This window comes from Homo sapiens, chromosome 13 (assembly GCF_000001405.40).
Source record: "Homo sapiens chromosome 13, GRCh38.p14 Primary Assembly".
NCBI lineage: Eukaryota > Metazoa > Chordata > Mammalia > Primates > Hominidae > Homo > Homo sapiens.
In genome coordinates, this window is record NC_000013.11 from 27,402,045 (window position 1) to 27,408,226 (window position 6,182).

Genomic DNA, 6,182 nt, shown 5'->3' on the forward strand with positions numbered 1-6,182 from the left:
ACATTGCAGATTGCTTAAACATTGAAAATACTTTCTTCTAGCTTTTGAAAATACTATCTGATTTGGCAAAACAGTCACATCATTGATAAAGGACTGAAATTTTGACATAGTCTTTGTTATTTCACACTTTTTTTTTTTGAGACGGAGTTTTGCTCTTGTTGGCCAGACTGTAGTGCAATGGCGTGATGTCGGCTCACTGCAACCTCAGCCTCCCAGGTTCAAATAATTCTCCTGCCTTAGCCTCCCAAGTAGCTGGGATTACAGTTGCCCGCCACCACACCTGGCTAATTTTTGTATTTTTAGTAGAGTCGGGGTTTCACCGTGTTGGCCAGGCTGGTCTCAAACTCCTGACTTCAAGTTATCCACCCTCTTCGGCCTCCCAAAGTGCTGAGATTACAGGCGCGAGCCACCACGCCTGGCATTTTTTTTTTTTTAGACTAGTCAAGTGCAGGAGTGAGAAGGAGGAAAGTGTAGAATAAAGAGTTGGATCTGTAACTAACTATGAACTATCGGTTGAGATAACTCACTACCTTTCGATCACCCACTTTTGTCTTACTCTTAAACAAAATGACAACTAACATTTATGTTGGAACCGCACTTGTTCATCAATTGCAACTACAGTTTGGCTATGGATACAAGATTCAACAAAAATCAACTGAAAGCATTTAGTGAGAGTCGGTTATATGGGATTTGTGATTAAGAGTATTGTATATTTAATTGTATGTTTATTTGTAAGTTGCACATCACACATCTGTATCAACATTTATAATAAACATATTAAACACGCACACACACAGACACACTTTTTACCCCTGAAAGCTGGCTGCAAACATCTCTACTAGCACACCACTGCATACACTGGTGTAATGTAATTCCAGACTTCTAGGACTGGAGCCTGCAAAACTTTTTTGACAGCACCCTACTTTGACAAGCCAGAAACTTCATGGCCTACCTCCCTCATTCACTTTCCATATGGCGTAGGAAAAGGGATGCCCACATACATCTGGCAGAATCACATACATTTTTCATTTAGCAATAGCGGCATGCGTGGTTCATATTTGAACCTAGTGTGTTTATGTGTTCAAGTGTAGTTACCAGAACAGCATAGGCAGATGCTAGAATATACCATCACACACTAACCAGACAACACACAGTGAACTAAGTTGGCAATAAAGACACAAAACCAACTGTAAGTTATAATTCAAAAGCAAGAAAAGCAGCACTTATAAAGCATGACAACCTCAAGACAGCACTAATAGCAAATTGTTCCTCTTCCAAACTGCAGGAATTCCAACTATGCTGCATATGTGGGCCACAGAGCTAAGCCGTGCACAGCAGCCAGATCTCTGGGAAGGAACTGAAGTTAAACCCTTGGTAAATGCTAGTTCTGTGCTAGTTTTAGTGTGTGAATAATAAGCTGTACCGACTCCTAATGACTCACTTCTTAGGTCACAAATACTTAGGCTTATATAAAAATGAAAGTGTCTGGAACTGCCTGTCATTGACACAATAGGCATGCAAAAAGAACCTGAGTGATCTGCTTAGCAGGAGGCAGGCTGGGCATTGGGTTAGCAGTACTGGCTCTAGAGAATTCTACCGCATAACTGATATCTTACACAGAACAGCTCTCTTCCTGGCTTGGGCTTCACTAAGGCCATTTCTAATCACCACCAAGTTTGATTTCAACTTTGGAGTCAATGCAATCCTTGTGCTAAATGAGATCCTTCCTGGTAGTTACTGGCACTGTCTGGCATATTTGTGGAAGCATTAACTCCTTGAGGTAGTCAATTAGTTGCTGCTGGAGCTAAGTCCACGACAGAATTTCTGCAGTCAGCTCTAGGCAGGCCCACCTCCTGCCACACTGCTCTCCAGGCACATGGAAGGGTTTCCCTCACCACCAGTTTACTCCTGGGGCCTAGCTCGGTCTCAGGCAGGAGAGCACTCAGGAAGACAGCCATATATCACTCCACTCGAGGCTGCCTCTGGTCTGGAAATTGTGGGTCTGCTTCACCGTGTGCTGTAAAGAGCTTATATTTCCGTTTATTTGTTTCTCCAGATCGAAACAGCATTGGCAGAGGGACAGAGCCAGCACCGGGACTGACCAGGAGCTGTTCCTCCTTCGCCTCATTTTAGAGTTGATTTGGGGGTTAAAGGTTACGCTTTTTGAGAGAGGTAGTAAAACATTAATTATGGGTAAAGTTCTTTCTCTCTTGCTCCATAGATTAACTGGCTGATCCTGTTTGCTCTATGAAGTGAACCATATTTGCTAAGGGTAATTTGAAATCGGCAGTGCAAATGGCCCCCTGACTTCCTCCTGCTGTTGGGCACTGTGCTGAGGTGAGTGCTGCAGGGCTCATGGTCATCAAGTCCCCCCAGTGGGACAAATACTGCATATCTTGTGAGAACCACTGGATTACTAAGATGTTAGCAGCCCCATGGACTTCCCGGAGCCTGTCCCTCGTCAGGAAATGTGCCATCTAACGCATGCACATCAGTTCACAGTGATGCACAGTAAAACCGAAAGCCAAGGGTCTGATTAACTGGCATCACTGAAGGCTCTGGTTTTATTCCCATCCTGGGTGACCTGGGAGCATCCTTCAGATTGTGCATCTAGGGTATGATGGGTTTATTTGTTCATCACCGTCTTCCTCGGGTGTAGAGCAGGGTCTGGCATGGAGCAGGCGTTCCGTATTTGCTGAGCGAACACACAGATCGTATGACCTGCTCTACACCTGTTGCTTGCTGCCTTCACGTCACTTACGGTCTCACTGGGGAGATGTGAGTGTTACACGTGAGACCATGAGACAGCAGGAAAAGACTAGCAGAGCCAGGAGCTAAAACATGGGCAAGGCCAGCAGGTCCCGGCAGGAAGTCTGCGGGCTCTGAGGCCCTCGTGGGCACAGGGCTGAGGTTGGGCAGGCGCCTCCGCGTCTGCTGGGCAAAGATCAGGTTGGCGCCGGGGTGGGAGGCTGGACAGGTGTGGAGGAGCAGGAAACACATTCCAGGTTTCCCTAAGGAAATGGGAAAAACCAGTTGTTTTAAAAATTGAACTGAATTCTTTCTTTTTTTCTTTTTTTTTTTTTTTTTGAGATGGAGTCTTGCTCTGTCACCAAGGCTGGAGTGCTGTGGTGTGATCTCGGCTCACTGCAACCTCCACCCGCTGGAAAAATTGAACTGAATTCTGTCTTAACCAACTTCCAGGGCATGGCCAAAGTCATCTGTAGCAGAGTATCCCCATGGACTGGGTTTGGGACTGTAACTTAGTGCCTGGAAACATTGGTACCAAGCTGAGGCTCTTATGGTTCCATTGTTCGTGGTCTTGAGACTTGGCCTTCATAAACACAGCTCAGCAAAGGCGTCGTTATTGGGCAGGCCACTGCAAACTTGCCCAAATCTGTGGAAGCACCTGGTGAATCCCGAGCACTCTCTAAGCAGAGTGAGAAGAACCCTGAAGCCACATTTTTGAAGTGTCTCTTATGAGCGTTGAAGATGGGGGCATCTGCTGAGCTTATGCAGGAGGCTGTTTGCTTATTTGAGGGCTGAAGTTTGTATGAAGACTGGCGGTGCGTGTGTATCACCAGTCGTAGCCGAAGCAACTTGGGGAGGCTTTTCACGGTTGTTCAAGCTGTTTATAACAGCTGTGTATCCACAGGTGACACTAGTGCTTGGAGCAGCAGAGGAGCCATGCTTGGGCAGCAGCTGCTTTGTAATCCATGCACTGAAATTCTGTCCCCTGTGCTGGGTGGGGATGCTCTCTGTGGTGTCATTGAACTCAGTGTGTGTTGTTGCTGTTTGCAATGTGCTCAATGGCTCAGATGCAATGATGGATGCTTCCAGGAGAGGCAACATGAGTCCTTGAATCATACAAATTCATATTCCACAGCCTCATGAAGTCATCTCTGCTGAATCAGGTTTCTCCCTGACATGGAGGGTGTGGCCACACAGCATCTGACAGCATGGAGAGAGCAATCAGACTAATTTCTTATTATGTTCTAACAATATAAAAAATCCAAACTGCATAATTGAGGCAAATAATAAATCTTTCTGGACCATGATTACCCAATTTGACTGTTTACTTTAATCAAATCACAAAATAATGATCGAATTTGGATTTAATTATGTGCCTATAAAGATAACCAAGAAGCAAATGTAAGTAACTGTCAGTCAAAGTCTTCTCAGACAATAGCTCGCATTACAACACGCCAATTACATTTTTATCAGGTAGTTAAGTTAATTACCTGTGGTAAATGTGTTAGTGGGACAAGTGTAGATTGCTGTAAACATTTGCTGACCACTTTAAAATGCTGCTGGACCATATGGGAGGATTCAAGGGTACAATAGCATGCAGATGTATTTACACCTGCTAATGCCATATAAAATCCAATAAAGTGTTCATGGTGAAACCTGTGTGTCTTTTTTTCCACCACAAGATGGCTCTGTGGTGGTTTCTTCTCAGAAACCACATGGGTGGCAGGACAAATTCATGGTTGTGAAGTAGCACACACACTCTGGGCAATGGTGTTGTGGAAACTGGACATTTGGTTTGAACCAGTGACTTCAGCCTCCCTTCCTTGCTGAGAGAAACCTCTCCTTCCCACCCTCTCCCCCAAGCACCCGGTGCCTTTGGCTTCCCTCTGTCGGAGGCTAAAACAGCATCTGGGCTGGCCATGGTGGTTCACACCTGTAATCTCAGCACTTTGGGAGGTGGGCGGATCACCTGAGGTCAGGAGTTCAAGATCAGCCTGGCCAATGTGGCGAAATCCCGTCTCTACTAAAAATACAGAAATTAGCCAGGCGTGGTGGCACGTGTCTGTAATCCCAGCTACTCAAGAGACTGAGGCAGGAGAATCACTTGAATCCAGGAGGCGGAGGTTGCAGTGAGCCGCGATCACACCCCTGCACTCCAGCCGGGTGACAGAGTGAGACCCTGTCTCTCAAACAAAATAAAACAAAACCAACGACAAAAAAAACCCACCAGCATCTGGATCCTTCTGTGTTGGCAGGGACTTTGCCTATTTCGTTCATCACTGTCTTCCCAGTGCTTACAGCAGTGCCTGAAACTGCGCTTAGAAATTTGGGGTGTGCCAGTGGAGGCTGCAGTACCCATGGGAGTCAGTGTCAATTCCAGGTTGTATCCACCTCCATTTCAGGGTGCACTGCCTGAAATTCATTCCCTGCATGGAAGGGTGGTCAAGCTTTATATAATTTTAATATACAACTTCTTTCATTTGTCTATTTATATTAAGATAATTCCTTTCCAAAGTCCCCAACCCTGTGTAGTTCAAAACTTACTTTCAGTTGGGAATAAGTCAGCCTTATTCACATTTCTTCACCTACCATTCCCAGGCAGTACTGATTGCTGTCAGTTCTTTTTCTCAGGAAGTCTGTGGACTTATCTCAGCCTCTTCAAAATATTTTCTTTTTCTGCCAACCTAAAGCTTTCCACAACAGTTTTACTGCACTTGACTGTTTGCAGTGCCTAGTATGTGTTAACTTATTCAATTCTCCCCATGGCTTCTTGCCTCTGCTCAATCAGTTACCATTCAATTTTTGCTTTCCAGCATCCAAAAATGTTGTTGCTACAGTCTCTTGTCTCTGGTTCATTTGTCCTTCTGGGGTAATATGCTTTTTTGAAAAAGGACCTCACCATTACTTATTTGAGGGTTCAGAGGAAGCACAAGTAAATGCTTATATTCAATCCAACATCTTTTATAAGGAGCCCAAAGTGAGCCCTTTGCATGTAGTGTCATTGACTCATCACAATAATCCTGCACTGTTATTATCCTCATTTCCCAGATGAGGAAACTGAGGTACTGAAAAGTTGAATAACTTGCCAAGACCCCACCGTCAGGAAGTGGGACAGAACTAGAATCCAATTCCAGGCAGTCTGACTCCAGCATTTATCATTTTTTCTCTAGAAGAGGGGAGGTGCTAGAAATAGAAAACTGACTGAAGGTCTGTTTAAGAAGTAGTTAGACCCCTAAGCACACTGCACACACATGCATGCATGCATACATACACACAGAGACACACACTCTGTACGGATTTTCTTCTATTTACCATGTTAGTGAGGGGGGATCTTCTGCCCTAAACAGTGTAAGGTGGCTGAACACATGACACCCAGCACTGGGCTGATGAGATGACAACAGTTCATCAGTCACACATACTCAAACAGCCAGGGG

General features: G+C 45.1%; 1 long non-coding RNA gene and 1 pseudogene across 1 annotated transcript, besides 1 other annotated feature; one reads left to right on the top strand and one right to left on the bottom strand.

Moving 5' to 3' along the window:
• RNY1P1 (RNY1 pseudogene 1) lies at positions 432-543 on the bottom strand (annotated as a pseudogene).
• On the top strand, positions 1,170-4,403 carry LOC124903138 (uncharacterized). Its single transcript, XR_007063733.1, has 2 exons — positions 1,170-2,337; positions 3,091-4,403. It is a non-coding gene; the product is annotated as an uncharacterized LOC124903138 (long non-coding RNA).
• Positions 1,808-2,378: an enhancer, noted in NCBI's record as "H3K4me1 hESC enhancer chr13:27977989-27978559 (GRCh37/hg19 assembly coordinates)". NCBI's record gives its function as "activates a minimal SCP1, AML or CMV promoter by ChIP-STARR-seq in naive H9 embryonic stem cells {active_cell/tissue: H9 hESC(naive)}" and the evidence as "EXISTENCE:reporter gene assay evidence [ECO:0000049][PMID:30033119]".
• Positions 4,404-6,182: the final 1,779 nt, after the last annotated feature.